At 56.2% G+C, this 27,238-nt stretch overlaps 2 protein-coding genes across 10 annotated transcripts in view, besides 13 other annotated features; one reads left to right on the top strand and one right to left on the bottom strand.

The window, feature by feature from the left end:
• The window catches only part of TJP3 (tight junction protein 3), a 42,430-nt gene extending 38,884 nt beyond the window's left edge, over window positions 1-3,546 (bottom strand). The window contains exon 1 of the mRNA NM_001267560.2: window positions 3,369-3,546. The gene's annotated coding sequence lies outside the window, so the exon portion shown is untranslated. The remainder of the gene's footprint in view (window positions 1-3,368) is intronic.
• Window positions 1,395-1,940: an enhancer, noted in NCBI's record as "H3K4me1 hESC enhancer chr19:3709988-3710533 (GRCh37/hg19 assembly coordinates)". NCBI's record gives its function as "activates a minimal SCP1, AML or CMV promoter by ChIP-STARR-seq in primed H9 embryonic stem cells {active_cell/tissue: H9 hESC(primed)}" and the evidence as "EXISTENCE:reporter gene assay evidence [ECO:0000049][PMID:30033119]".
• Window positions 2,776-3,437: an enhancer, noted in NCBI's record as "H3K27ac-H3K4me1 hESC enhancer chr19:3708491-3709152 (GRCh37/hg19 assembly coordinates)". NCBI's record gives its function as "activates a minimal SCP1, AML or CMV promoter by ChIP-STARR-seq in naive H9 embryonic stem cells {active_cell/tissue: H9 hESC(naive)}" and the evidence as "EXISTENCE:reporter gene assay evidence [ECO:0000049][PMID:30033119]".
• Window positions 3,438-4,101: an enhancer, noted in NCBI's record as "H3K27ac-H3K4me1 hESC enhancer chr19:3707827-3708490 (GRCh37/hg19 assembly coordinates)". NCBI's record gives its function as "activates a minimal SCP1, AML or CMV promoter by ChIP-STARR-seq in naive H9 embryonic stem cells {active_cell/tissue: H9 hESC(naive)}" and the evidence as "EXISTENCE:reporter gene assay evidence [ECO:0000049][PMID:30033119]".
• Window positions 11,214-11,703: a silencer, noted in NCBI's record as "silent region_9863". NCBI's record gives its function as "represses an Ori minimal core promoter by ATAC-STARR-seq in GM12878 lymphoblastoid cells {active_cell/tissue: GM12878}" and the evidence as "EXISTENCE:reporter gene assay evidence [ECO:0000049][PMID:35858748]".
• Window positions 11,214-12,405: a biological region, named in NCBI's record as "H3K27ac-H3K4me1 hESC enhancer GRCh37_chr19:3699523-3700306".
• Window positions 11,462-27,238, top strand: part of PIP5K1C (phosphatidylinositol-4-phosphate 5-kinase type 1 gamma) — a 70,286-nt gene continuing 54,509 nt past the window's right edge. For all 9 annotated transcript variants that reach the window (XM_047438535.1, XM_017026540.3, NM_001195733.2 and 6 more), the window contains exon 1: window positions 11,462-11,633. In XM_047438535.1, the coding sequence (XP_047294491.1) occupies window positions 11,540-11,633 (94 nt within the window). In that variant the 5' untranslated portion in view covers window positions 11,462-11,539. The remainder of the gene's footprint in view (window positions 11,634-27,238) is intronic.
• Window positions 11,622-12,405: an enhancer, noted in NCBI's record as "H3K27ac-H3K4me1 hESC enhancer chr19:3699523-3700306 (GRCh37/hg19 assembly coordinates)". NCBI's record gives its function as "activates a minimal SCP1, AML or CMV promoter by ChIP-STARR-seq in primed H9 embryonic stem cells {active_cell/tissue: H9 hESC(primed)}" and the evidence as "EXISTENCE:reporter gene assay evidence [ECO:0000049][PMID:30033119]".
• Window positions 11,784-11,923: a silencer, noted in NCBI's record as "silent region_9862". NCBI's record gives its function as "represses an Ori minimal core promoter by ATAC-STARR-seq in GM12878 lymphoblastoid cells {active_cell/tissue: GM12878}" and the evidence as "EXISTENCE:reporter gene assay evidence [ECO:0000049][PMID:35858748]".
• Window positions 20,625-20,919: an enhancer, noted in NCBI's record as "tiled region #5698; K562 Activating DNase matched - State 14:Gen5'". NCBI's record gives its function as "activates a minimal TATA promoter and a strong SV40 promoter by Sharpr-MPRA in K562 cells {active_cell/tissue: K562}" and the evidence as "EXISTENCE:reporter gene assay evidence [ECO:0000049][PMID:27701403]".
• Window positions 22,532-22,611: an enhancer, noted in NCBI's record as "active region_13743". NCBI's record gives its function as "activates an Ori minimal core promoter by ATAC-STARR-seq in GM12878 lymphoblastoid cells {active_cell/tissue: GM12878}" and the evidence as "EXISTENCE:reporter gene assay evidence [ECO:0000049][PMID:35858748]".
• Window positions 22,622-22,691: an enhancer, noted in NCBI's record as "active region_13742". NCBI's record gives its function as "activates an Ori minimal core promoter by ATAC-STARR-seq in GM12878 lymphoblastoid cells {active_cell/tissue: GM12878}" and the evidence as "EXISTENCE:reporter gene assay evidence [ECO:0000049][PMID:35858748]".
• Window positions 23,504-23,553: a silencer, noted in NCBI's record as "silent region_9861". NCBI's record gives its function as "represses an Ori minimal core promoter by ATAC-STARR-seq in GM12878 lymphoblastoid cells {active_cell/tissue: GM12878}" and the evidence as "EXISTENCE:reporter gene assay evidence [ECO:0000049][PMID:35858748]".
• Window positions 23,574-23,783: a silencer, noted in NCBI's record as "silent region_9860". NCBI's record gives its function as "represses an Ori minimal core promoter by ATAC-STARR-seq in GM12878 lymphoblastoid cells {active_cell/tissue: GM12878}" and the evidence as "EXISTENCE:reporter gene assay evidence [ECO:0000049][PMID:35858748]".
• Window positions 23,804-24,003: a silencer, noted in NCBI's record as "silent region_9859". NCBI's record gives its function as "represses an Ori minimal core promoter by ATAC-STARR-seq in GM12878 lymphoblastoid cells {active_cell/tissue: GM12878}" and the evidence as "EXISTENCE:reporter gene assay evidence [ECO:0000049][PMID:35858748]".

The following is a 27,238-nucleotide window of genomic DNA, read 5'->3' as shown; positions in this document are numbered from 1 at the left end:
CAGATCACTTGAGCCCAGAAGCTCGAGACCAGGCCGGCCAACACAGCAAAACCCCATTTCTATTTTCAATTTTTAAAAAAAAGAAAGAAAGGAAACAAATTAATTCCCCTCTGTATAGGCTATAAAGTCTTACCGGTTCCCATATTAATTAATGAATTAAGCAGACACATAAAGCACCTTTTTTTTTTTTTTTGTACTTTTAGTAGAGACAGGGTTTCACCATGTTAGCCAGGCTGGTCTTGAACTCCTGACCTCGTGATCCACCCGTCTCGGCCTCCCAAAGTGCTGGGATTACAGGCGTGAGCCACCGCATCCGGCCTCATTTTGTATTTGTATGAGAGTAATGATTTTACTATTTTGGGAAAAAATATCCTTTAATATCATAAAGCCAAATGTCTTCAGGCCAGCATTTAAAGCTCTCCCTTCATTTTGGCCGGACGCGGTGGCTCACGCCTGTAATCCCAGCACTTTGGGAGGCCGAGGCGAGCGAATCACCTGAGATCAGGAGTTCGAGACCAGCCTGACCAATACGGTGAAACCCTGTCTCTACTAAAAATACAAAAATTAGCTGGGCGTGGTGGTGGGCGCCTGTAATCCCAGCTACTTGGGAGGCTGAGACAGGAGAATCGCTTTGAACCCAGGAGGTGGAGGTTGCAGCGAGCGGAGATCGTTCCACTGCACTCCAGCCTGGGCAACAGAGCGAGACTCCATCTCAAAAAAAAATAAAATAAGGCCGGGCATGGTGGCTCACGCCTGTAATCCCAGCACTTTGGGAGGCTGAGGTGGGCGGATCACAAGGTCAGGAGAGACCATCTTGGCTACCACGGTGAAACCCCGTCTGTACTAAAAATACAAAAAATTAGCCGGGTGTGGTGGCGGGCGCCTGTAGTCCCAGCTACTCGGGAGGCTGAGGCAGGAGTATGGCGTGAACCCGGGAGGCGGAGCTTGCAGTGAGCCGAGATCGCGCCACCGCACTCCAGCCTGGGCGACAGAGCGAGACTCCGTTTCAAAAAAATATAAAAAGTAAAATAAAGTTACAAAGCGCCTCTCACGCATGTTACCCTCTGTGCAGCCATTGGCTCCATTACTGCGCTCTTGTTTCATGTCTGTCTTTCCCCACCAAAATATGCGCCCCACGAGAGCAGGAAGCTTGGCCTGCCTTGCTCACTGCTGAATCTCCAAGGCCTGGTGACCCCACACTCGCGCATACAGTAAGTGCACAATAAATGCCCGTTCGCTCCCTGGGCGACCCCTCCCCCCAGCCTAGGCTTCCGCTAACCTCAATCCATTCCAAAGGGTGTCAGGTTCCACCCTGAGCAAACACAGCTCCCCTGGCCCCTGGCCAGCCCTAAAGAGGAAGAACAAGTACCCATACTCCCTGCCCTGGACTTTCCCCGGGACTCAGGGCCACGAGGAAGCACCAAGCCAGGGGGCAGGACTTTCTCGAGATGCTGAGCCTGAGGCATCAGCTGGGGGCAGGGCCAGCCTCCAGAGCACCACCCCCGCCACCAGCTCCCTGTCCTCTGCGTCTTGACTCTTGGCCGCCTGACATTTCTACTTGGCTGTGCGGCCCGGGGTAAGCGGCTGTCCTTCTCTGAGCCAGGGTTCATCCTCTACAAACCAGGAAGCTGATGAGACCAGACTCCGATTCGGACCGGGATAGCTCGTCTTGACCCCAGAATGACCGAGAATCTGTTACCCGCTTTATTACATCCGGCACTCAACAGCCCTGTGCCTTGGTGACTCCATATCCCCCCACCCCTTTTTTTTTTTTTTTTTTTGAGACAGAGTCTCACTCTGTTGTCCAGGCTGGAGTGCAGTGGCACAATCTCGGCTCACTGCAACCTCCACCTCCTGGGTTCAAGCAATTCTCCTGCCTCAGCCTCCGGAGTAGCTGGGATTACAAGTGCTTGCCACCATATTCGGCTCATTTTTTGTATTTTTAGTAGAGACAGGGTTCCACCATGTTGGCCAGGCTGGTCTCGAACTCCTGACCTTGTGATCCACTCGCCTCGACCTCCCAAAGTGCTGGGATTACAGGCGTGAGCCACCGCGCCCGGCCCTCAATATCCCCATTTTACAGAGCAGGAAACAGAGGCCCGGAGAGAAGGGAGGTGTGGAAGCCAGATCTAACTGAGTCCACGGGTTTGCTCTCAAAACCCAGGCAAGGTGGGATCCATGTCGCCCACCCCCACGGACTCCCGAATCTCAAGCAAGCCTGCTCCCTGGGAGCTCTGCAGCCACACAGCCACAAGGTGACCCCAAATGCCGGGCCGCTCTGTCCCCCACTATGCGATCATCCATGCCTCCTCGGCCCCGGGGGACCCTCTTGGTTCTGGAGAGAGACTTGAGATGCAATCGGACACTTGGCTCACGAGGAAGCTCCCTTGGTCTTCCCATTTGGGAGCAAATGACCCAGAAAAACACTTTTGCTGCCGACCCCTCCCCTCTCTGGCTCTGAGCGCTCCTTCCTCCTTCCCCTCTGCCCCATCCCACAGAGATTTTGCTCGGAGGAGTAAAGATTAGAAAAAGAAGTCTGGGCGCAGTGGCTTGCGCCTGTAATCCCAGCACTTTGGGAGGCCGAGGGGGTTGGATCACCTGAGGTCAGGAGTTCGAGACCAGCCTGGCCAACATGGTGAAACCCCATCTCTACTAAAAATACAAAAATTAGCTGGGCATAGTGGTGGGCGCTTGTAATCCCAGCTACTCGGGAGGCAGAGGTGGAGGCAGAGGTTGCAGTGAGCCAAGATCGCACCACTGCACTCCAGCCTGGGCAACAAGAGCAAAACTCCGTCTCAAAAAAAAAATTAGCAAAAGAAAGGCCACCCCAATCCCTCCCTGCAAAGCTCCTGGAGGTTCCAGCGGTGAGAACAGGGTGAGGGGTTGGGGGGCGGGAGACGCAGTTGTTTCAAAACTTGGGAGCCTTTTAAGAAGTTCCAGGAGGCTCAGAGATGAGTGAGGTCGCAGCCTTTCCCACCTGTCACCTCCTAGCCTCGGGCTGCAGGAGGTAAACCCAGGCTCCGTCTGGACTGATATCCCCTCCCCTCCTCAGTTAGGGGGATCAGAGACCAACCTGTGCCCCTTTGCCGCCTCCCCGGTCCCTGCGCCACCTAGGTAACAATGACCCTTTTAAGTTTCCAGCTCAGCGTCCTGGGCAGGCCGCCAGGTGCAGTAACTGCCGGTCAGATAATCCCTACGAAACTATGTCAGATGCCCACGCAGGAGTGTCAGTTTCCTGCTTTCCGAGGAGCCGGGGAGACAGCTCGTGGTGGGGGAGGTTGGGGGGGAGTCTAAGGACCCTCAGCTGGGGAAGGCCAGCTCAGACAATGCACACTGGGTGGAAAAGCACAGTGGGGCGGGGGACTTACCTGTCTAGGAGGCTGGGTGGCCTCTGGGCAGGCAGCAGGTGCCAGGGCCCGGGTGCCTGCCTGGCACGGGTGGTGGGGAGGGAACCCGAGGCTTGTAGCTCTGGCCTCCCCACCTGTTTGACCAACTTTTCCTCTCTTGTGGTGGCAACAGGGAGGCAGGTCCCCTGCCAGTGGAACTGACGACCACAGACACAGGGAGACGGACCAGGGTGAGGGGCGGGCCAGCAGGAGGACTGGGTGTGTGGCTCTGTCGCAAGGTGCCCTCACGTGGGAGCAACTGGCCTTAACCCCTGCTTGCCCAGAGGTGAGCTTGCTCCTGCCTGTGCCCTCACCGCCGAGGCCCTGGTATCAAGCGTCCGCACATGGTAGGTGCTTAGGAAACCCTCGTTGGCTACATTCAGACATGAATGGACCGCACTCCCGGAGTCCCCCTCCCTCCTGCTTCTTGCATCTGGAGCTGCCCAGTCTCTGTGCTTGCTGAGCCTCCTGCCAGGCACGCCGGCCCATCAGGCTGTGGCTTGGCGCACTCCCTTCCCCACGCAGATCTGTGCGCAGTCTGCCTCTCTGCTACGAAGTGACTGGGTTCCTACGTACAGAAGCTTCTGCCACTTCCCCGCTGTGTGGCTTTGGGCAAATTACAGGGGCTTCTTGCTGTCCTCATCTAAAAAACAAGAAAGGGTCAGGTGTGGTGGCTCACACCTGTAATTCCAGCACTTTGGGAGGCCGAGGTGGGAGGATCACTTGAGCCTGGGAATTTGAGACCAGCCTGGGTAACACGGTGAAACCCATCTCTAGAAAAATTTTTATATATCTTTTGTTTGTTGTTTGTTTTGAGATGGAGTCTCCCTCTGTCACCCAGGCTGGAGTGCAGTGGCGCGATCTCGGCTCACTGCAACCTCCGCCTCCTGGGTTCAAGTGATTCTTCTGCCTCAGCCTCCCAAGTAGCTGGGATTACAGGCGTGCACCACCACGCCCAGCTAATTTTTTTTTTTTTTTTCAGTAGAGACGGGGTTTTCCTATGTTGGCCAGGCTGGTCTCAAACTCCTGACCTCAAGTGATCTGCCCGCCTCGGCCTCCCAAAGTGTTGGGATTACAGGCGTGAGCCACCGAGCCTGGCCTAGAAAAGTTTTTTTGTTGTTGCTGCTGGCTGTTGTTGGTTTTGTTTTGTTTTTTGTTTTTATTTTATTTTTTTTTTATTTTTTTGAGACAGAGTCTTGCTATGTTGCCCAGGCTGGAGTGCAATGGCTTGATCTCGGCCCACTGCAACCTTTGCCTCCCGGTTTCAAGTGATTCTCCTGCCTCAGCCTCCCGAGTAGCTGGGATTGCATTACAGGCACCAGCCATCATGCCCAGCTAATTTTTGTATTTTTGTAGAGACGGAGTTTCACCATATTGGCCAAGCTGGTCTTGAACTCCTGGCCTCAGGTGATCCGCCTGCCTTGGCCTCTCAAAGTGCTGAGATTACAGGCGTGAGCCACCACGCCCAGCCCAGAAAACTTTTTTAAAAATTAGCCAGATGTGGTGGTACACACCTGTAGTCCCAGAAACTCAGGAGGCTGAGGTGGGAGGATCAATTGACCCTGGGAGGTTGAGGCTGCAGAGAGCTATGACTGTGCCACTGCACTCCAACCTGGGTGACAGAGCAAGATCCTATCTCAATAAAATAAAATTAACCAGGAAGGGTTGGGCATGATGGCTCACACCTATAATCTCAGTACTTTGGAGGCCAAGGTGGCAGGATCACTTGAGGCCAGGAATTCGAGACCAGTCTGGGCAACATAGTGAGACACCCCCCCATCTTTACCAGTACATTAAAATTAAAATTTAAAAAATTAAGTCTGGGCTCAATGGCTCACCCCTGTAATCCCAGCACTTTGGGAGGTTGAGGTGGGAGAATTGCTTGAGTTAGGAGTTCGAGACCAGCCTGGCCAACATGGTGAAACCCCATCTCTACTAAAAATACAAAAATTAGCCGGGCAAGGTGGCATGCGTCTGTAATCCCAGCTACTCAGGAGGCTGAGACGGGAGAATCGCTTGAGCCCCAGAGGCAGAGGTTGCAGTGAGCCGAGATCGCGCCACTGCACTCCAGCTTGGGAGACAGAGCAAGACGCTGGCTGAAAAATAAATAAATAAATATTAAAATGCCACCTCACAGAGGTCATGGACTTTGTCGTGCTCATCCCTGCCGTGTCCTATGGCCTAGCACAGTGCCTGGTACACAGTAGGTGCTCAATACATGTTTTTGGAATGAATGGACTAGGGTCCCTCCAGCCTGCAGTACCTCCTGCTGACGGTAGTAGCCACTATGGCCACCAGGCGGCGCCAGAAACCACGCAACCGGCCCCCGCCGGGCAGCCTCGGTTTTCCACCCTGCGTAATGGGGACAGCCAACCAGGGGCGTGGGGGGATGCGGGGAAGGCACAGAAGGCTGGTGGCTCTCCCGGACCCCAGCCCCTCCTCTCTGTCCCTTGCCTCTCCCCTCCTGTCACCCCATCCCTGCCCTAGTTTTCTTTTTTTTAAGTTTTTTGTTTGTTTGTTTGTTTTTGTGTTTTGAGACGGAGTCTCACTCTGTCTCCCGGGCTGGAGTGCAGTGGCGCCATCTCGGCTCACTGCAACCTCTGCCTCCCGGGTTCAAGCGATTCTCCTGCCTCAGCCTCCCGAGTAGCTGGAATTACAGGCATGTGCCACTACGCCTGGCTACTTTTTTGGTATTTTCAGTAGAGGTGGGGTTTCATCATGTTGGCCAGGCTGGTCTCAAACTCCTGACCTCAGGTGATCCACCCACCTCTGCCTCCCAAAGTGCTGGGATTACAGGCGTGACCCACCGCGCCCGGCCAAGAGGCTGCTTTTAACTGCTTGTTTTGATGTTGACTTTTGCGTCTGTAAGTCATGACTGTTCAGCCAGTTTTAGTAATTTTTTTTAAGTATATTTCCTCTTCATTATCCTCATCAATGATCTAACCTCCAGCACTTCCTCCACTTTATCTGGCATCCAAATTGCCTGGAAGGGGGAAGTCATGAACACCCAGATTTTACCACCCCCACCACCCCGCCCAGTTTCTGGTGTGTGAAGTCTGCGTTGGAGCCTGGGAAACTGCATTTCTTTTCCTTTTCTTTGGTTTGAGACAGAGTCTCGCTCTGTCGCCCAGGCTGGAGTGCAGTGGTGCAATCTCGGCTCACTGCAACCTCTGCCTCCTGAGTTCAGGTGATTCTCCTGCCTCAGCCTCCCAAGTAGCTGGGACTACAGGCGCATGCCACCACGCCTGGCTAATTTTTATACTTTTAGTAGAGATGGGGTTTCTCCATGTTGGCCAGGCTGGTCTCGAACTCCTGACCTCAAGTGATCCGCCCACCTTGGCCTCTCAAAGTGCTGGGATTACAGGTATGAGCCACCGTGGCTGGCCCCTTCCCCCAAACTTTATCTGGCACCCAGTTTGCCTGGAAGGGAGGAGTCATGAACACCCAGATTGTGCCCTCCCACCACCCTACTCTGCCCAGTTTCTGGTGTGTGAAGTCTGGGTGGGGGCCTAGGAACCTGCATTTCTTTTACTTTTCATTGTTTGTTTTGAGACCAGGTCTCGCTCTGTTGCCCAGGCTGGACTGTAGTGGTGTGATCATAGCTCACTGCAGCTTCAAACTTCTGGGCTCAAGCGATCCTCCCACCTCAGCCTCCCAAGTAGCTGGGACTACAGGTGTGCACCACCATGCCAGGCTATTTTTGTTTTTTTGAGAGGAGTTTCGCTCTTGCTGCCCAGGCTGGAGCGCAATGGCGAGATCTTGACTCACTGCAACCTCTGCCTCCCGGGTTCAAGCAATTCTCCTGCCTCAGCCTCCTAAGTAGCTGGGATTACAGGCATGCGCCACCATGCCCGACTAATTTTTGTATTTTTAGTAGAGACAGGGTTTCTCCGTGATGGTCAGGCTGGTCTCGAACTCCTGACCTCAGGCGATCCACCTGCCTCAACCTCCCAAAGTGCTGGGATTACAGGCGTGAGCCACTGCATCTGGCCACGCCAGACTAATTTTTAATTTGTTTTGTAGAGATGGGATCTTGCTATGTTGCCCAGGCTGGTCTTGAACTCCTGGGCTAAAGTGATTCTCCTGCCTCAGCCTCAATCCCAAAGCACTGGGATTACAGGCATGAACCACTGCACCTGGCTTTGGAACCTGCATTTCTAACAAGCTCCCAGGGTGAGGCTGATGTGGCTGGCCCAGGGACCACACCTTGAGAGCCAGTGGTCTAAATCTTTTTTCAAAACAGATTCTGGGTGAATCAGGAGCTCTGTCCATGACCTGCGTCCAAAGAACTCTTCCTGGAGCCTTAAAATGGTCAAGGCCGCCTGCAGTGGCTGACGCCTGTAATCCTCACACTTTGGGAGGCCGAGGTGGGCAGATCACCTGACACCAGCCTGGCCAACACAGTGAAATCCCATTTCTACTGAAATTACAAAAATTAGCCAGGTATGGTAGCACACACCTGTGGTCTCAGCTACTTGGGAGGCTGAGGTGGGAGGATCGCTTGAACCTGGGAGGCAGAGGCTGCAGTAAGCCGAGATCACGCCACTGCACTCCAGCCTGGGTAACAGAGCAAGACTCATCTCAAAAAAGAAAAAACAAAAAATGGTAGTAAAATACGCACAACATACAATTCACAATTTTCACCATTTCTTTTTTTTCGAGTCTTGCTCTGTTGCCCAGGCTGGAGTGCAGTGGTGCCATGTTGGCTCACTGCAACCTCTGCCTCTCAGGTTCAAGTGATTCTCCTGCCTCAGCCTCCCGAGTAGCTGGGATTATAGGCCTGTGCCACTATGCCCAGCTAATTTTTTGGTATTTTTAGTAGAGACAGGGTTTCACCACATTGACCAGGCTGGTCTTGAACTCCTGACCTTAGGTGATCTGCCAGCCTCGGCCTCCCAAAGTGCTGGGATGACAGGCGTGAGCCACCGCACCCGGCCCATTTTCACCATTTCTTTCTTCTTCTTCTTCTTCTTTTTTTTTTTTTTTTTTTTTTGGAGACAGAGTCTTGCTCTGTCGCCCAGGCTGGAGTGCAGTGGTGCCATGTTGGCTCACTGCAACCTCTGCCTTTCGGGTTCAAGTGATTCTCCTGCCTCAGCCTCCCGAGTAGCTGGGATTACAGGCACGCGCCACCACGCCTGGCTAATTTTGTATTTTTAGTAGAGACGGGGTTTCTCCATGTTAGTCAGGCTGGTCTTGAACTCCCGACCTCAGGTAATCCGCCCACCTCGGCCTCCCAAAGTGCTGGGATTGCAGGTGTGAGCCCCCGCGCCCGGCCCATTTTCACCATGTCTAAGAGCACAGCTCCGTGGCCTTAAGCACATTCCCATGGCTGTGCAAACATCACCGCCATCATCTCCAGAATGTTCTCATCTTCTGAGACTGGAAGTCTGCCCCTGTGAAACACTCACTCCTCGTCTCCCCCCAAGCCCCTGGCACCCCCCATCCTACTTTCTGTCTCTGTGAATGTGACAACTCTAGGGACCTCCTAGGAGTGGAACCACACAGAATTTGTCTTTTTGTTTTTTTTGTTTGTTTTTTTTTTTTGCGGGGACAGACGGGGTCTTTCTCTGTTGCCCAGGCCAGAGTGCAGTGGTGCGATCATAGCTCACTGCAGCCTTGAGTTCCCGGGCTCAAGCAGTCCTCCCACCTTAGCCTACTAAGTAGCTGGCTAATTAAAAAACAATTTTTTTTGTAAAGATGAGGGGTCTCACTACACCTAGCTAATTAAAAAAATTTTTTTTGTAGAGATGAGAGGGCTCACTATGTTACCCAGGCTGGTCTAGAACTCCTGAGCTCAAGTAATCCTCCTGCCTTGGCCTCCCAAAGTGCTGGAATTACAGGCGGGAGCCTCTGTGCCCACCCCAAACATTATTTATGTGCATAGGTAATATAATCATTATGATTTACATTTATGTAAATAATATAAACGTTATTACTTAAATTAACATAAACAACATAAGCCTTATTATGTGCTTATATAAAGAACATAAATATGGCCGGGCGCAGTGGCTCACACCTGTAATCCCAGCACTTTGGGAAGCTGAGGCGGGAAGATCACGAGGTCAGGCGTTCAAGACCAGCCTGGCCAACATGGCGAAACCTCATCTCTACTAAAAATACAAAAATTAGCCGGGCGTGGTGGCACGTACCTGTAGTCCTAGTTACTTGGGAGGGTGAGGCAGGAGAATCACTTGAACCCTGGAGGCAGAGGTTGCAGTGAGCTCAGATCGCCCCCCTGCACTCCAGCCTGGGCAACAACAGCAAGACTCCATCTCAAAAAAAAAAAAGAAGGATATAAATATTGCTACTTACATTTGCATAAATATATATAATTTATTATGTATTTCTATAATTATATGTTTCTTATAATAGCAAACTGTATTATTATTGATAAAATAATATAAAGAAAACAATAACATATCTATACTTACGTAATACAAACGATGGAATATAAATATTATTTGCAATATGATAATAAACAGGTAGTTAATTGCAAATGTTATTGATATGTATTGCGTAGATCAATGTTAATAACATGTATTGTGTAGATCTATATATATATATATTTTTTTTTGATATGGAGTCTCGCTCTGTTGCCCAGGCTGGAGTGCAGTGACACGATCTCAGCTCACTGCAAGCTCTGCCTCCCAGGTTCACCCTATTCTCCTGCCTTAGCCTCCCAAGTAGCTGGGACTACAGGCGCCCGCCACCACGCCTGGCTAATTTTTTGTATTTTTAGTAGAGACGGGGTTTCACCATGTTAACCAGGATGGTCTCAATCTCCTGACCTCGTGATCCGCCCGCCTCGGCCTCCCAAAGTCTTGGGATTACAGGCATGAGCCACCGCGCCCGGCCCTGTGTAGATCAATATTATTTACATGTACTGTGTATATCACTGTTATTGGTATATTTTGTGCATATCAATGTTATTGACATGTAGTGTGTATATCAATGTTATTGACATGTAGTGTGTACATTAATGTTATTGGCATGTAGTGTGTATATCAATGTTATTGGCATGTAGTGTGTATATCCATGTTATTGGCATGTAGTGTGTATATCAATGTTATTGACATGTAGTGTGTGTATCAATGTTAGTTACATGTATTGTGTAGATCAATGTTATTGGTATTCATTGTGTATAGCAATGTGATTGGCATGTATTGCATATAGCAATGCTATTTGTATGTTTTATGTAGATCCATGTCAATGATATAGTATAGATTCATGTTATTGGCATGTATTGTGTATATCCATGTTATTGGCATGTATTGTGCATATCCGTGTTATTGGCATGTATTGTGTATATCCATGTTATTGGCATGCATTGGGTAACTCCATGTTATTGGCATGTGCTGTGTAGGTCCATGTGTGGTTTTTTTTGGGACAGAGTCTCACTCTGTGGCCCAGGCTGGAGGGCAATGGTGCGATCTCAGCTCACTGCAACCTCTCCCTCCTGGGTTCCAGCGATTCTCCTGCCTCAGCCTCCCGAGTAGCCGCGATTACAGGCATGTGCCACCACGCCCAGCTATTTTTTGTATTTTTAGTAGAGACAGGATTTCACCATGTTGGTCAGGATGGTCTTGAACTCCTGACCTCAGGTGATCCGCCCTCTTCGGCCTCCCAAAGTGCCGGGAATATAGGCGTGAGTCACCGCGCCCGGCCAGATCCATGTTATTGTCATGCGCTGTGCAGGTCCCTGTTATTGGCATGTGCTGTTTAGATCCATGTTATTGGCATGTGCTGTGTACATCCATATTATTGGCACGTGCTGTATAGATCCATATTATTGTCATGTGTTGTGTAGATCCATGTTATTGGTATGTGTTGTGCACAGCAATGTTATTGATACGTATCGTGCCTGTCAATCTTACTGACCTAATACGATGGAATGGCGAGCCTGGCTCTGTACTCCCACCCCTGGGCGCGAGGGGGCACTCGAGGCGCTCCTGGCTGCGGGTCGCAAGCAGGCCCCGCCCCCGAGCCCCGATTGGCCGCGCGCCGTCCGCGGCGTCGCACGCACGCAGGCCCCGCCCCGTCCGCCCCGCGCCGGCCCGGCGCGCCCTCCCTTGGCCGGCGGCGCTTGTTGTTCGGCGGCGGCGGTCGCAGCTCGGGTCCCCCTCGGGCGCCCCCGCCGCCGTCCGCGCGCGGCCATGGAGCTGGAGGTACCGGACGAGGCGGAGAGCGCTGAGGCGGGGGCCGTGCCCTCGGAGGCGGCGTGGGCGGCAGAGAGCGGGGCGGCGGCAGGTAACGGCCCGGCCTCCCGGGGCTGCGGCCCGCTGGGCTCGTCCGAGCGCCGAGAGTCGCGGGGCTGCGGGGCCGGGGCGGGGGCTGCACGGTCGCTGCGGGGGCGCCGCCGGTTCCAGGAGCCTGGGGCGGGGCAGTCCCCTGGAGCCGCGGGGAGGACGGGGCTGAAGCCGCGCCGGGAAGCGGGAGGCCTGCGAGGGGCTACCTCCCACCGCTCCCGGGCCGGGGGCGACTCGGCGTGGGCGCCGCTGGGGATCCCCGTTCTGCCTGACCCGCTCCCAGGGGCTGCCCGTCGTGTGAGTGGCGGCTGCTTGGGTGGAGGCGGGGGTCTCTGAGGCCGTGCGTGCCCACCTCCTGATGTCACCTCCCTTTCTGTAAGTCCCCAGACCTGAGTCCGGGTGCGCGACCTTTCCTCACCTTCCTGGGCCTCAGTTTACCTCCCTGCTAAAATGAGGGGAGGAAAAGGGTTACATCTCAAGATGCCTCCACCGCCCCGGCTGTGCACACAGGGTGCCCTGTCGCCCCCTTTTCCTCTCCCCGAGCCTTCCCCCAGGACACACTGGTGGGGCTGCGGGCTGGGCGGGGGGCACGGCTGTCTCATGCCCCCTTTAGCTGCTTCCTGGACCTCCAGCCGGGTAGGTGGCGGCAGCTGGGCCTTCCCTTCTGTGGGGACGGTGTGCAGAGCCCAGAGGAAGGGAACAGTTCCTTCTCAGTCGAGGTCACAAGCTCCCAAATCGGAAGTTTCCGGATTCACAAAATCCTCTGCTCCTCCCAGGCAGCCAGCAGCAGCGTCTCTGTAGACACCCACACGGGCATCCGTCCTCCTTCTCCCCCCAGGCCTCCCGAAGCTTCCTTGGTTGGCAGGCGGGCAAGCGGGCGGGCGGGCGATGCGTGCTGCCTGGGAGTTGGGGAGATGTCTGGAGAGAGAGAGAGTGTGGAAGTCATCAAGTCCCCCCCCCACCCCCCGCCTTGAAAGACACTCGTGGCTTCCCTCCCGGCGGCCATCTGGAACCGCTTGGTAGGTGACCCGGTTCCTTCCCCAGAGCCAGTGGCCTCGCCCCTTTCTTTGCGGGCAGCCGGTGTCCTGGCCTGGCCAGCAAGAGACATGGTGGAGGAACCCAGGCAGGGCACCAGGCCCCAGCCCGGGTTCCTTTCTTGGGCCCCCCAACTTCCGCTGTCAGCCCTCTGACCCCAGCTGGTCAGAGACAAAGTAGCCCAGGACTCGCTGACCAAAAGAAAACCACACCGCGACCATTCATCTTATCAGGGGCTCTGGGAGCACCGGGGACAGATAAAGTTGCCAGCTCCAGACTGAGCATGGTGGTGGGGTGGGAGAGCGGGGGAGTGGGGGGGTGGGGGTGGGGGGCCGGGGAGGGCTGGAAGGTCAGGGTCTGGCATCTCTGCCCATCCCTGAAATCCACAGAAATCTGACCCCAGCTGGCCATATACTGCTTCTGAATGTTTAAAATTCAGAGTTGCCTCACTCCTCCAACGCCATCCCTCCTGATGTTAGCGCTGGTGAGTTTAGGTTGTGCCTGGCTGGGCCACAGAGACGTGAGCACATAAAGGGGCCTGCTTGTTCTTCACCGAGATGGTTTCATGCCTCACTGGGGCTTCTGTGCCTTGGCAGAGGTATTTTGAGTCAGGAAATTAGGGGTGCTGAGCAACGCCCCTGGCTTCTGCCCACTCCATGCCAGGAGCACCTGCCAGTTGTGACAGCCACAAGTGACCCAGACACCGTTCAGTGTCCCCTGGGGGCAGGACGGCCCTGGTGAGAAATGCCACACGTTTATGACTCTGTGAACTGCTTGCTTTTTATCTCTGGTCATCTGGAGTCTCCCCACCCTATGTTGGTATCGGTTTGTAGAGAGGGCGAGCGCCAGGCAGTGGTTAAGGGGGAGCCCCAGAGTTGGTCCCGCCGATGTCCCCCTCCCAGCTCCGCGCTTCAGGTGCTGTGTGGCCGTCACTTCCCCGGGCTTCAGCGTCCCGTCTGTGAAGTGGGGTGATGACCGTGTGTGCTAGGGGCTGAGCCTGGGATGAGTTGGCGCTCGTGCTTGGTGATTGTCGTGCCGGTTGGCCACCCCTTTCCGGCCTCTCCACCATCGGTGCCTCCAGGCCCCTGCTGAGGCCCATGCCCGTGGTTTCTGGAGTCACCGCTCACTGTTAGAAGCGATGGCGACACCTTCCAGAAAGCTCAGCTACAGCGGGAGCCTTGTCCGACAGGGGCCGAGGGAGGCTGCCCGTTTCCCACGGCACTGCCAGCTCCCAGTGTCATCGTCCTTGGCGATTTCGGCTGATCCGATGGGAGGCAAAGCAATGTCTCGTTGGTGTTTAGAATTTGGTTCCTCTAATTGCCTGGGCTCCTGGCTCCCGAGGCGTGGCCTGAATGGCGTCTCCATGGGCCGTGGCCGTGGGGCACGTGGGGGCGGTCTCGGGAAGGCCGGGGCTTGGGATGCGGCTGTGCCCACTGTGTGGGCCGATGGCCTGTGGTGGAGTTTGGTCTGAGCTGTGGCCTGGGCGTGTCTGAGCCTCTCCCAGGCTGTCCTGTCTCTGTGATGCCCCAGAACGGTCAGCTCCATCCCTGCCCCTGCCCCACTCCCACGGCTGATCTGTCTCTGTGATGCCCTGGAAAGGTCAGCTGCATCCCTGCCCCTGCCCCACTTCCACGGCTGATCTGGCAGCAAATGATGGCAGCTTCACCTTCAGAACTGGCCCAGAACCCACTGACTCCTTCCCTGTCCTCTGCCTCTCCCGGGTCCAGCTTGGTCCTCCCGGGTCCAGCTTGGTCCTCCCTGGTCCAGCTCGGTCCTCCCCGGTCCAGCTCGGTCCTCCTCGGTCCAGCTCGGTCCTCCTCCGTACAGCTCGGTCCTCCTCCGTCTGGCTGAGTACTCCCCGGTCCAGCTCAGTCCTCCTCCGTCTGGCTCAGTCCTCCTCTGTCTGGCTCGGTCCTCCCCGGTCCAGCTCGGTCCTCCTCCGTCCGGCCCAGTCCTCCTCCATCCGGCTCGGTCCTCTATCCGGCTTGGTCCTCCTCCATCTGGCTCGGTCCTCCCGGGTCCAGCTCGGTCCTCCCCGGTCCAGCTTAGTCCTCCTCCATCCGGCTCAGTCCTCCCCAGTCCAGCTTGGTCCTCCTCTGTCCGGCTCGGTTCTCCTTCGTCCGGCTCAGTCCTCCTTCGTCTGGCTCGGTCCTCCTTGGTCCTCCTCGGTCCAGCTCGGTCCTCCTTGGTCCAGCTCGGTCCTCCCCGGTCCAGCTCAGTCCTCCTTTGTCCAGCTCGGTCCTCCTCGGTCCAGCTCGATCCTCCTCCGTCCAGCTCAGTCCTCCTCGGTCCAGCTCAGTCCTCCTTTGCCCCCTGAGCCAGGCCTGGCGCCCCTGCTCTTCCTCTGCTCCCTGTCCCACATTCCAGGAGGACCCCATTAAAAACCAGCGGCCCGAGTCCCGACCCTCCTCTGCTCGCAGCCCTCCATGGCTCCCACCTCCCTTGGGGTCAAAGACATAGTCCTCTTTGAAGCCCATCAGGCCCTGCACAGCCTGCCCCGGGCCCTCCCTGCCCTCCCTGCCCTCCCCTCCGCACTCTGCCCTCCCTGCCCTCCCGTCTGCACTCTGCTGTAGGCCCATGGGCCCCTTGCTGTTCCTCCAGCATGCAGGGCATGGTCCTGCCCCGGGGCCTTTGCACGGCTGCCCCCCACCCCCACCCCGGAATGCCCCTCCTCCCATCTGTGTCCTTTGCTCCCTTAGCGCTTTCCAGGTTTTGTGGGAGCATCTCCTCTCCGTGAGGCCTCCCTGCCCTGCTGTCACCACACAGCGGTCTCCCCTTCTCCGTCCCCTGCCCTCCCGGTTCCTCTTCCCTGATTGTGCCACCATAGCGTTTGTCACCACCTGAAACATATGGCTCTGCTGACGTGTTTTCTGACCATCTCCTCCTGAGCGAGAGCTCCACGAGGGCCAAGACCGTCTGTGCCACTCCTGCGGCATCCCCTGCGCCCGGAAGAGCTCAGCACAGTGCAGATCCTGGTGAACATCAGGTGCATGAGGCCAGCAGTGCCAGGGAGGAAGGGTAAGGTAGAATGGGGTGGCTGGGAAGGCCTTGCCAAGAAGGTGGCATCCGAGGGAGACCTGTGGGCATTGGGCAGGAAGAGGGCATGGCCCCAGCAGAGGCCCCGCCTGCCTGGAGCACAGTGTAGTGTGGTCACAGGGCGGCCGGGCAGGGAGTCAGCACCGCCACCAGGGCCTCCCTGTAGCTGTGGTGGTCTGTGTAAAAAGGTCAGGGAGGCCGGGCACGGTGGCTCACACCTGTAATCCCAGCATTTTGGGAGGCTGAAGCAGGAGGATCACTTGATCTCAGGAGTTTGAGACCAGCCTGGAGCAACATAGCAAGACCCCTGTCTCTACTAAAAAAAAATTAAAAGAAGTAGCTAGACGTAATGGTATGTACCTGTAGTTCCAGCTACTCAGGAGGCTGAGGCAGGAGGATCACCTGAGCCTGGGAGGCTGAGGCTGCACTGAGCTGTGATCGTGCCACTGCATGCCTGGGTGACAGCAGAATCGTATCTCAAAAAAAAAAAAAAAAAAGGGTCAGTGGGATTGTGGTGTCTCTTGTTGCAAGTCAGCAGGGCCCAGGCGGAGGCTGAGGACACTGGGGACGGAAAGTTCCCCATTCTCTCCCGCCCTGGCCGCCTCCCGGGATGCAGGTCAGGCACTGTGACCACCACAGCCTGGGTGTCCCAGTGGAGAGGCCTCGGGGGCCGGCCCTCCTGGGTTCACACCCAGCGCCATTGCATGCCAGCCGGGGATGTGCAGCCTCGGTGTACCTGTCTGTAAAGTGGGCGTGATGGCTGCCTTTCTCCTGGGCTGCATGGAGAATCATGGGGTAAAGCCCTTAGAAGGCACGGGACAGGCAGCCGGCCCCGTGAGAAAGCTGGGTGCCCCCTCCGTCCCAGGTTGCTGTTGGAGGAGAGGGAGTCCCCTTCGTGTGCTGCTTCCGGGGCCCAGGTGCCAAGCGAGCTCACCTGGGCGCTGGGGTCCGCCATGGGAGTCGGCTCGTGAAAGTGTGAGTTCCACTCCTGGGCTCCAGACCTTTGTTGAGCACCTCGTGTGGGCCAGGTGGGGCTCAGGGTGCCCAGTCTTCTGGTGCTAACGGGACTGCCTCGCTGACCCCTTGGAGCCCTCAGGTTGCTGGGCGTCAGGCTGCAGATGGGAACAAGTGGCCACGTGAGACCCCACCCGAATCTGTCCATGCCGCTTCTTGTCAACAAAGTTTTATTGGCAACGGCCACACCATTTGTTCCGTTGCCGGCCTTGGTGGCCCCCACGCTGCAGCGGCAGAGCTGGGAGCTGAGTGGCCATGCTTGGGGCTACGTGTCCCACGAAGCCGAAAACACTTGCTGCCCGGTCCTTTACGGAAGATGTTTGCCCAGCCCAGAGCCGGGCTGCGTTGGGCGGTGATGAGTGTGGTGAGGGCACCTGGGAGGTCAAGTGGCCAGGCCTGCGGCAGCTGAGGACTCGGAGGGAGGTGACTGTCCCCACGAGCTGAATAAGGGTGGGCTGTGGCTCAGGCGATGTAGGCAGCGGAATAGTCGCGCCGAGGCCGTGGGGTGGGAACTTGCTGCACCCACTTGAGCCGCAGAAGTGAAGTCAACGTGGTGGGAGAGGGTCGCGTGGGGTCGGACCTGAGGACAGCGGGTGGCACGGGCATCTGAGTGGGGCGGCGAGCCCGATTCACAGCGCCTGGTGGGGGATGGTCCGTGGGCAGTGCTCTGTGGGGTTGGGGCAGGTGTCCAGGTGAGTGCCACCGGTGCCTGGAGGCAGACGAGGGGCCTGGAAGGATTTTGGCCTGGGCCCTGGAGCTGGTGGCTGGGGTGGCGAGGACTGAGGACAGAGCAGGACTGGGAGCCCAGGCACTGTGGCAGGTGTGTGCCGATGTGGGGTGAGCAGGCAGTGGGGACCCCCAAAGCAGGTGGAGGCTCCGGGAGCCTGGGCAGGGTGGTCCCAGGGCCTGGTGTGGGCTGAGCCTGCCTTGGCCGCTTAGACCCGTGTGCCTCTGAGCAAGTGACTTCCCTTTGTTTTAAATTTTTTTTTTTTTTTTTTTTTGAGATGGAGTCTCGCTGTCTCGCCCGGGCTGGAGTGCAGTGGCGCGTTCTCGGCTCACTGCAAGCTCCACCTCCCGGGTTCACGCCATTCTCCTGCCTCAGCCTCCTGAGTAGCTGGGACTACAGGCGTCCGCCACTACGCCCGGCTAATGTTTTGTATTTTTAGTAGAGACAGGGTTTCACCGTGTTAGCCAGGAGGGTGTTGATCTCCTGACCTGGTGATCCGCCCGCCTCAGCCTCCCAAAGTGCTGGGATTACAGGTGTGAGCCACCGCGCCCAGCCTCTTTTAAATTTTTAAAACTTTTTTGTAGAGGTGAGGTCTCACTATGTTGTCCAGGGTGCGAGGGTCTCGAACCCTTGGTCCCAAGCAGCCCTCCTGCCTCCACCTCCCAAAGTGCTGGGGTTACAGGCATGCGCCCCCATGGTGGCCCCTTCTTTCCCTTTTGGAACAAGAGCTGCGGGTGTCCTGAGTGCCTGGCAGGACAGGGATGGGTGAGGCCCTAGCCCCTGGGAAGCTGCACGACCTGGGTCTTTGTTTACAGATGGGGAAACCGAGGCTCCAGGAGGGCTGGAGAGTCCACACAGGGTGGGGCTGTGAACGAGGAGCGGGGCCCAGGCCTCCCTGCCGCCTGCCGCCTGCCGCCTGGCCCCGGCAGCATGTCCCTTCACGCAGGACCAGGCCGGTCAAGACCCTGCAAGGATTTGCCAGCAGGCGCCAGCTGGACGGGGCCCGTGGTGGTGCCAGTACTCATGGGGATTACAGCCTGAGGGGATTAGCTCGGAGCCCCTGCACCTGCCTCCCCGCCACCCTGAGAGGCCAGCTTGGGAGGGGCTGGAGTCGAGCATGAGGGCCCCCAGGTGCCTGAGCTGGCATGGGGGTGCGAGGGGACCCGGCCTCTGGCTGAGTGAAGAGAGGACCCCAGCACCCTGCCCGGCCGCTCTCCTCCACTGAAATGCCTCATGCCTCCACTTTGCAGGCAGGGCTGCTGCTGAAGGTTTCCGGGAGTGGGGTGTGGTTCGGGCATCGTCTACGTGTGCTTTCCTGCGTGTGCTGTGGCCGGGTGCTGGGAGCCTGGGGGAACGAGAGGGCCAGGCCCCCTAAGGAACTCTGGGAGTGGGGCCAGGACATACAGACAGCAAAGAAAAGCAAAACACGCAACGCAGTGGACAAGTGCCACGGAGAAGAGCCGAGCAGAGGAGGGGAGAGAGTGGCGGCGGAGGTGCCCTCAAGGCTGGGGACTCGGGGGCCACACTTGAACAGAGATCCAGGGGAAGTGAGGGGGTTGTGGAAGTGTGGAGGGAGCTGTCTGGCAGAGGCACTGTGCAAAGGCTCTGGGGCAGGACCACGCCTGGTGTTTTAGAGGAACAGTGAGGAGGGGAGGGCAGGGAGGGGACGGGGCAGGGTGTGCAGGGCCTTGTGGGCTGCAGGGAGGACTTGGGCTTTGACCCCAAGGGAGGTGGGAGCCATGGAGGGCTGCGGGCAGAGGAGGGATGGGCGAGACTCAGGAGCTCACAGGCACCCCCTGGTGGCTGCTGTGGGGAGGACAGATGGGGTGAGGGCGGGACGTGGGCTAGGGGAACCAGGGCAGAGGGGACTGCACTGGCCCAGGTGGGCGAAGCTGGGGCTGGGCCAGGTGGGGACCATGAGCAGTGCGCCATCTGGGATGGATTTTGGAAGCAGAGCCAGCAGGACCTTTTGAAGGTTGAGTGTGGGGCTGAGGGGGGATTGAGTTTGAAATCAAGATTTTAGCCTGAGCCCTGGAAGGACAGAGCTGCCCTCAGCCAAGATGGATGCAGGAAGGGCAGCATGGGGGCCGCCGGGGCCCAGCATGGCCGAGCTGCGAGGGAGGCCCCAGGAGCCCCTGTAGGGAGCGTTGGGGGCCGTGGTGGGAGCCGGCAGTGGGACTGGGTGGGGCCGTCGGGACCCTGGTGGTGGCTGTGCTCAGTGGACGGTGTCTCTGTTCCATTGTGCTGTTGGCAGGAGGACAGCTGAGATGATTGGGTTCGGTTGCCCAGCCGCTCCGTGCCTCAGTTTCCTCATTTGGAAAGCAATGTCCCTTGAGGATTAGATGAGTCAATGCACACAAAAGGCTCAGAGCCGGCCCTGCCCATGGTGGGCGCCCAGGGAGTGGGGACAGGGACGTGAGCGGGCAGCTCCCACTGTGCACCCTTCCCGTGCGGTGCTTGGACTGGCCACGGTGCATGCGCTGACATGGGCGGGGCTGCTGGGGCAGGGAAAAGAGCCTGGGGTGGGAGCAGCTGCCTCGGGGCCTGTGCCTGTGGGCGCGTATGAGCCAGCCTGGCTTGGCGTCTGCTGCTAAAACAAACATCCCCACTCTCCCGGCCATCCCAGAGGCTCATTTCTCGCTTGTGTTGGGGGCTTTGGTGGTTTTGCTCCCCGATCTCTCAGATCCCAGGTTGACGGAGGTGCTGTCACCCCCAGTGCAGTAAAGGCTCTATGCTTCTGTAACCCAGAAAGGTGGTACGTGTATTCAGATGCACTCTGATTGGTTTAAATCAGGCCTGGTGAGGCCAAGAGAGCAGGAGGTGACTGCTATTGAAAAGCTCTTGTGTTACAGTTCCCGAGGCTTTGGTTGGAAGGGACGGGCCAGGCGGGGTAGATGGGCTGGGTGTGCCTAGGATGGGCTGGTTTGACTCCCGACTGTTTGCGGCTCTTGGCTGTTGGGGTGGTCCCTGTTCTGGGAGCTGGCCCTGGGGTGATTCAGGGCAGGGAACCTGGGCGTGGCGCGTGAGAGTTTGATCAGGTGCGTGGGCTCGCGGTTGGTTGCTCTGCACGTCACAGTGTGCTCGCAGGCGGGCCGTTTGCAACGTTTAGGAATCCGCTTACCCTGGAAGGGGCCGTCATCCCCAGATTAGCGAGGCCCCCAAGATGTCGTAAAATCCAGAAAACAAAACGCAGCATCAGCACTGTACCAGACCGGGCGCTCCGTGTTCCGGCAGCGGAGGACGCGTCCATCTCTCCCATCCTCAGCAGCCATATGGGTGCAAGGCGACTTCTTCCCTCACTGCGTCATTGCAGCGTATATTCGTCTTCTTGTGACTCAGAGAAAAAGTCCTTGTGGCTCTTCGCAGCATTTCCTCTTTGTTTTCTTGGAACTGCGTTTCCACAAGGGGAGCAGAGACCACTAGAGGCGAAGGGACTCGCCACACAGGAGCTCCCTCCCACTCCTCCCGACGGTCACCTGTGTTTCTATCAAGAGCTGGAAAATGGAGTGTCCCCACCAGGGAGACGGGGTCACCACCGAGGCTGGCTCTGAGCTGCCTCAGCTCCTGCAAGCTCCGTGGCCCCGACCTCCACCCTCCCCGGCCCATTTTCCTTGCACAGTTCCTTCTTGTAAGCACACACGTCAGGTTGAACTCTGACCTCATTTTCTGGGACCTGTATGATTGTGTCTTTCCCAGTCTACAGTTATCTGTCACCATTTTGTTGATTCGTAGGAGCTCTTTATTTGTTATGGCAGCTACTCATTTATTGGTGACACAAGTGCAGGTACTTCTTTGCCCATCTTCTCCTACGATGATTGTTAACGTCTGGCAGGTATTTTGGGGTTTATGTGGTCAAACTTATCACTCTTTCCTTTTCTGGTTTCCTAGTTTGGTGTCATGAATGGGAAAGTCTTCCTGTTCTGAGGTTATGATTAAATTCTGCTAAGACTTTTATAACTTAGCTTCTTTTTTGTTCACATTTCAATTCTTTTTTTTTTTTTTTAAGACAGGGTCTCGCTGTATCACCCAGGCTAGAGTTCAGTGACACGATTGTAGCTCACCGCAGCCTCGACCTCCTGGGTTCAAACCAGCCTCCCAACTAGCTGGGACTGCAGGTGTGCGCCACCATGCATAGCTAATTTTTCATCTTTTATGGAGACAGGGTCTTCCCATGTTGCCTGGGCTGGTCTCGAGCTCCTGGCCTCAAGTGATCCTCTTGCCTTGGCTTCTCGATGTGCTGGGGTTACAGGTGTGAGCCAGTGCGCCCAGCCTATTTCTGGACTTTTTATTCTGCTCCACTCCTCTGCCTTTACCTTCATGCTACAGCCATGTCTCGTCTTGAACAAATGATAACATGTTCACAGTTAAAAAAAAAAAAAGTAATCAGACTTGCAGTGAGTAAAAAGTGAGTCCCACCTCACCCTCTCCATCTCTGTGGAGATAATGACTGTCACCCCAGGTGTTTCTCTGGCCCATACACTTGGGGCTCAGATTATATTAGGCTATTAAAAATAGTTTATTTGGAAAGCTTTCCAGCCTATAGAAGGGGCAAGAATGCTACAGTGAAGACCTGTACAGCCCGCACAGAGATCCACCAGCTGCTAACGTTTTGCCATGTCTTTATCATTCTGTGTGTGGGGGGGGAGTGTACGTTAGTGTGTGCAAGTTTGTGTGTGTGAGAGTGCATGTGAGTTAGTGTGTGTGTGTTAGCGTGTGCGTGTGTGATTATGTCAGGCCATTTGCGTGTTGATTGCTGGCATGGTACCTCTCTGCCTGAAGCAGCCAGTTCCATTATTTGTGGTAGTTCTTTATTTTATTTTAATTATTTTATTTTTTTGAGACGGAGTTTTGCCCTCTCGTCCAGGCTGGAGTGCAGTGGCGCGATCTCAGCTCACCGAAACCTCTGTCTTCCGGTTTCAAGCAATTCTGCTGCCTCAGCCTCCCAAGTAGCTGGGATTACAGGCGCCCGCCACCACACCCGGCTAATTTTTGTATTTTTAGTAGAGACAGGGTTTCACCATGTTGGCCAGGTGGGTCTCGAACTCCTGACCTTGTGATCCAGCCACCTCAGCCTCCCAAAGTGCTGGGGTTACAGGCATGAGCCACTGCGCCAGGCCTGTTTGTGGTAGTTCCTTTGTGAAGCTGCTGCAGACACTTCAGGCGCACACTGAGCCCTGGCTCCAGGGGAAACCCAAGGTCGGGTTCCTGTGAGCCTCTGGGCATGATGTTTCCATCAGCCAGTCGATACGTGACCTTGTTGTATGTTCGTTTTTATTTCAAGGCGTGTTATTTTAGGGCTGGGTGCGGTGGCTCACACCTGTAATCCCAGCACTTTGGGAGGCTGAGGTGGGAGAATAACTGGATTACTGAGCCCAGGAGTTTGAGGCTGCAGTGAGCCGTGATTGCACCACTGCACTCCAGCCTGGGCGACAGAGTGAGATCCTAAGAAAATTTTAAAGACACCCGTGTTGTTGATTTATCCACAGGGAGCTCACAGACCATAGGCCGCGTGCGCCAAGCCCCCCCCACCCCCCAGCCCCATCCCGGGCACTCTCCCAGGCCCCCGCCCATTTGCAGGCTGTGTTGGGGACAAGGCTGGAAGGGGGACCGGGGGCATGTATTCGGCTGTGTGGGGGCTCAAAAACGGGGTGGGGGGCCATGGCGACGTGGGTGTGGGTCCCCCTCCCCCGGCCCACCAGCTCGGTGTGTCTCTCGCTCTCGTTCTCCCCCCACTCTCCTCTCTCTCTCTCTCTTTCCGCTCTCAGTCCTGTTTGAGCAAAGCTTCTCTCACTACGGGTTTCTCCATGGGGCTCATCCGGGTCTCTAGCCCTGAGGGACACGAAACCACCTGAGGACAATGCCTGGGGGGGCAATTTCAGCAGCAGAATCACCAGCAAAACCGCAAAAAACACACGCGGCTCTCAGTGGACCAGGGAAAGGCCAGGTGCTCACAGCAGGAGTTGAAACCAGGGGGCGAGGGTGGCCTCACCGGAGCTGCCTGGGGACGTGTGTGCCCCAGAGTCCTGGGGGTGCTGCCCTGGAAATAGCCTTCCGGTCTTCTAGATCCCTCCCCGCCCACAGCAGGGGGCCAGAGGCCGTCCCCCCCTCGCAGGTGAGGAACAGGAGCTCCTGCGGGCTCCCCTGCGGCACCCCGCTCTGTTTCCCACCACGGCCTAACCTCAGGCTCTGGAAGGAATTCCCTTCAGGGACACTGTACTCCCCGGAGGGACGCTGCGCCCCTGGAGGACAGGGACGCTGGGGAGCCAGCCGCGAGGGGCGTCCACCTCTGCTGTGCTGGAGACGGAGCGCGCAAGGAGGTGGGGACCACGCGCAGACCCTGGCTGCGGGAGCCTCAGCTCGGGGCCCATCAGGATCTCCCGCAGCCCGCACGGGCCGGGCTTCCCCCAGGGGCTGGCGTGTGCTCTGTGCACCCTGACCCATCCCGTCGGCCCCGCCACCTGCGGGCTGGCCACGCCCCACAGCCTCCTGCCCCGGCCCGCCCGGGAGCTTGGTGCTGAGAGTGGAGCCTCTTTCTCCCTGGACATTGGGGCCCTGGGAAACGACCCAACACCTCAGGGCCTGCGGAGTTCTGGATGCTCCGCCCGCCTGCGCAGAGCTTCCTGTTTACCGGCCTGGCTCCTGCCCGCCCACCTGCTGCGGGGAAAGCGATCACTCTATGCCCTGCGGGGAGCACCCGGCAGGGAGAAGGGAGAAGGGGCAAGGAAGAGGGGCGGCCTACTACTCGGGTGGACCCCAGGCTGTCCCTCCACCGTGCTGGGGTCCCCCAGGTGTACCCTCCCCTCCAGCCACCTCACCCCTTCCTTGCTGTGTCCCGCAGGTGTTCTGTGGTGTCCTCTGAGGGCCTGTGCGTGTGTGTGCGTGTATGCATGTGTGTATCTGCATGTGTGTGCGTGTGCATGTGTGTGCGTGTGCATGTGTGCATGTATGTGTGTGCGTGTGCATGTGTGCATGTATGTGCATGTGTGCGTGTATGTGCGTCTGTGTCCCCTTCCCACAGGCCCTCACCGCTCCCTGCACCTGTGGGTCCTTTCTTCCTTTCCTGCCCTGTTGGGACATATTCCTTATTGCACACTTGGACTTCTTTCTTAAATTCTTTTCTTTTTGAGACTGAGTCTCAGTCTGCCACCCAGGCTGGAGTGCAGTGGCGCAGTCTCGGCTCACTGCAACCTCCGCCTCCCAGGTTCAAGCAATTCTCCTATCTCAGCCTCCTGAGTAGCTGGGACTACAGGCATGTGCCACCATGCCTGGCTAATTTTTTTTGTTTTTGTTTTGAGTCGGAGTCTCACTCTTTTCACCCAGGCTGGAGTGCAGTGGCATGATCTCAGCCCACTGCAACGTCTGCCTCCCGGGTTCAAGCCAATCTTCTTCTTCAGCTTCCAGAGTAGCTGGGATTATAGGTGTGCACCACTATGCCCGGCTAATTTTTGTGTTTTTAGTAGGGACAGGGTTTTACCATGTTGGCCAGGCTGCTCTCGAACTGCCGACCTTAGGCTATCCACCTGCCTCGGCCTCCCAAAGTGCTGGGATTACCGGTGTGAGCCACTGCACCTGGCCTTGATCTGTTTTTTTCTTTGCTTGCTTATGCTTTTGGTGTTTATTTAAGAAATTGTTGCCTAATCCAAGGTCACAAAGATTTATTACCCCATTTTCTTAAGTAGTTTTATAGTTTTAGCTATTACATTCATTCCAGTTTGTAATTATTTTATTTTATTTTATTTTATTTTATTTTATTTATTTATTTATTTTGAGACGGAGTTTCGCTCCTGTTGCCCAGGCTGGAGTGCAATGGTGCGATCTCGGTTCACCACAAGCTCCACCTCCTGGGTTCAAGTGATTCTCCTGCCTCAGCCTCCTGAGTAGCTGGGATTACAGGCGCCCGCCATCACGTCTGGCTAATTTTGTATTTTTAGTAGAGACGGGGTTTCTCCATGTTGGTCAGACTGGTCTCAAACTCCCGACCTCAGGTGATCTGCCCGCCTTGGCCTCCCAGAGTGCTAGGATTACACACGTGAGCCACTGCACCCAGCCTTTATTTTTATTTTTTTGAGACAGAGTCTCACTCTGTCGCCCAGGCTGGAGTGCAGTGGCGTGATCTCAGCTCACTGCAAGCTCTGCCTCCCTGGTTCATGCCATTCTCCTGCCTCAGCCTCCTGAGTAGCTGGGACTACAGGCGCCCGCCACCACGCCCGGCTAATTTTTGTATTTGTATTTGGGAGGATCGGCCTCCCAAAGTGCTAGGATTACCGGTGTCAGTCACTGTGCCTGGCTAGGAAACTCTGTAAAGGGCTGAGTAGTAAATTTTTTAGCTTTTAGTCTAAGTACGGTGGCTCACGCCTGTAATCCCAGTGCTTCGGGAGGCCAGGGTAGGAGGATCAGTTGAGCCCAGGAGTTTGAGACCAGCCTCGGCAACAACGCGAGACCCCCGTTTCTGAAAAAAGAATTAGCCAGGTGTGGTGGCGCCTGTAGTCCCAGCTACTCAGGAGGCTGAGGCAGGACGGTCGCTTGAGCCCAGGAGTTGGAGGCTGCAGAGCTATGGTGGCACCACTGTGTTCCAGCCTGGGTGACAGTGCAAGACCCCGTCTCTACAAAAAAATCAAGATGAACATTTTAGGGTTTGTGGTCCAGATGGTCTCTGTCACAACTCCTCCACACTGCGGTTGTAGCACTTAAGGAGCCAGACAATTCGTGAACACATGGGTGTGGCCATGTTCCAATAAAACTTTTTTTTTTTTTTTGAGACGGAGTCTCGCTCTGTCACCCAGGCTGGAGTGCAGTGGCATGATCTCAGCTCACTGCAAGCTCCGCCTCCCGGGTTCACGCCATTCTCCTGCCTCAGCCTCCCGAGTAGCTGGGACTACAGGCGCCCGCCACCACACCCGGCTAATTTTTTGTATTTTTAGTAGAGACGGGGTTTCACCGTGTTAGCCAGGATGGTCTCGATCTCCTGACCTCGTGATCCGCCCGCCTCGGCCTCCCAAAGTGCTGGGATTACAGGCATGAGCCACCGTGCCTGGCCCAATAAAACTTTCTTTAGTGGGCTGTGTTCGGCCCCTGGACTGTGGTATACCAGCCCCTGCTTTAGACAGTCTTTGTAGGACCTTATGAGTTCCATATAATCAGCGAGACTCCTGTCTTTTTACCTGTGCCGAAGTTGTCTAGGAGAAAGTTCTAGAATTGAAGTTGCTGCCAAGGGCACACACATTAGAAATGCTGCCAGGCTGCCCCCTAGGGGAGAATCTATTGACACGGGCATCACCCCCAGCCGTGTGAGGACCCCCTGAGTCCCCAACCCATTGCTGGCAGGCTGGTTTCATATCATGTCTTTTATCATTAGAGGGGTCTGGGCGTCTTTTTCAGATGTTCACACTGTTTGTTTTCTTTTCCTCTGCCTGTTTTACAAGTTGAGTGAGTTAATGCTTTGAGAAAAGCCTCATTTCTATAAATAAAAATGACAAAATATGTATTTCAGACGGCACCAAAGGATGGAAGTTGCAAATTAAGAGACCCTCCCCCATCCCACACCCAGAAATAACTTGGAACCTTCTAAGATTCACGTGTCTGGCCCTGACTGCTGAGTGACGTGTCTACAGTGGTGGAAGCCATGTGGCACTAAGAGCTTGAGTTCTCCTGGTGGGTCACAGGGAACCAGATCCTGGTGCTCAGAGGGAGAGAGCCGCCCGGGGCTTTGCTGCCTGGGCCCTACGTGCCGGGTGACCTTCAGCAGGTGGTGGTCCCGCTCTGGGTGCGTCTGTGGTGGGATTCGTGGATTATGC

This window comes from Homo sapiens, chromosome 19 (assembly GCF_000001405.40).
Source record: "Homo sapiens chromosome 19, GRCh38.p14 Primary Assembly".
NCBI lineage: Eukaryota > Metazoa > Chordata > Mammalia > Primates > Hominidae > Homo > Homo sapiens.
This window is presented reverse-complemented; position numbering and strand designations above follow the sequence as displayed.